Source organism: Homo sapiens, chromosome 11 (assembly GCF_000001405.40).
Source record: "Homo sapiens chromosome 11, GRCh38.p14 Primary Assembly".
NCBI lineage: Eukaryota > Metazoa > Chordata > Mammalia > Primates > Hominidae > Homo > Homo sapiens.
In genome coordinates, this window is record NC_000011.10 from 46,200,971 (window position 1) to 46,202,019 (window position 1,049).

At 50.2% G+C, this 1,049-nt stretch overlaps 1 annotated feature.

Annotated features, from left to right (window-relative positions):
* Positions 252–755: an enhancer, noted in NCBI's record as "H3K27ac-H3K4me1 hESC enhancer chr11:46222773-46223276 (GRCh37/hg19 assembly coordinates)". NCBI's record gives its function as "activates a minimal SCP1, AML or CMV promoter by ChIP-STARR-seq in naive H9 embryonic stem cells {active_cell/tissue: H9 hESC(naive)}" and the evidence as "EXISTENCE:reporter gene assay evidence [ECO:0000049][PMID:30033119]".

Consider the following 1,049-nt stretch of genomic DNA (forward strand, 5'->3'; position numbering starts at 1 on the left):
CAAAGGAAAACCCTCCCTACTTGAAAGCAGTTATAAAATCATGCCTCAGCCTTTTGTTTCCCAGCCAAATGATGCCAATTACTAATACCAAAGGGAGAGAACGTGACTCACTGATGTTCCCAGTCCTGACGGCTGACTGCCGTCAATTCCCTGGTCCCTAGAGTTCGCTCCACTGTCTCTTTTCTGACCGTTCTCCACAGTCGTCACCAGAAAGTCACCCTCTCTTCTTGCTTTTCTCCAGGAGAGTTCTAGGACTTCCCAAGGCCCGTAGGTCCATTGGCAAGGTCACACCAAGTTCCTTTGCCCACATTCCGATTGGACTCAGAGGAGGACTTGATGGGAACGTCCTTGTGTGTGTTTGTGTGTACACAGGCACGTTTCCTCCTATCATCCATTAAACAGAGAATCTTCATCTGCCCTTGTCTGTCCCCAGTCTCTTGCCTTCCCCAGGTTGTGTTTCCCGGTCATATACTCGGCGGGTTTCCCTGCTCTTTCCTCATCATTCGGGGGACACAACAGCGAGAGGCAGCCCAGCATGGGCTGTCTCACTAAAGAACATTCTACTCAGAAAGAACTGGCCCTGAGCCCTTGGCTCCCAGAAGACCAAGGCCTCAGCCTTCATTCTGCCTTCCTGCCCACCCTCCAAAATGAGAACAAGGCCAGGTGCAGTGGCTCAAGCCTGTAATCCCAGCACTTTGGGAGGCCAAGGCGGGCAGATCATGTGAGGTCAGGAGTTTGAGACCAGCCTGGCAAACATGGTGAAACCTCATCTCTACTAAAAATACAAAAGTTAGCCAGGTGTGGTGGTGCACACCTGTAATCCCAGCTACTTGGGAGGCTGAGGCACAAGAATTGCTTGGACCTGGGAGGCGGAGGTTGCAGTGAGCTGAGATCACACCACTGCACTCCAGCCTGGGGTGACAGAGTGAGACTCCATTTCAAAACAAAACAAAACAAAACAAAATGAGAACAAGACCCAAGACTCACAGGAGCACTTGCTCTTTTATTGGGAGAGGAAGGGAGAGTAACTTTGATTGACTTTATTTTAT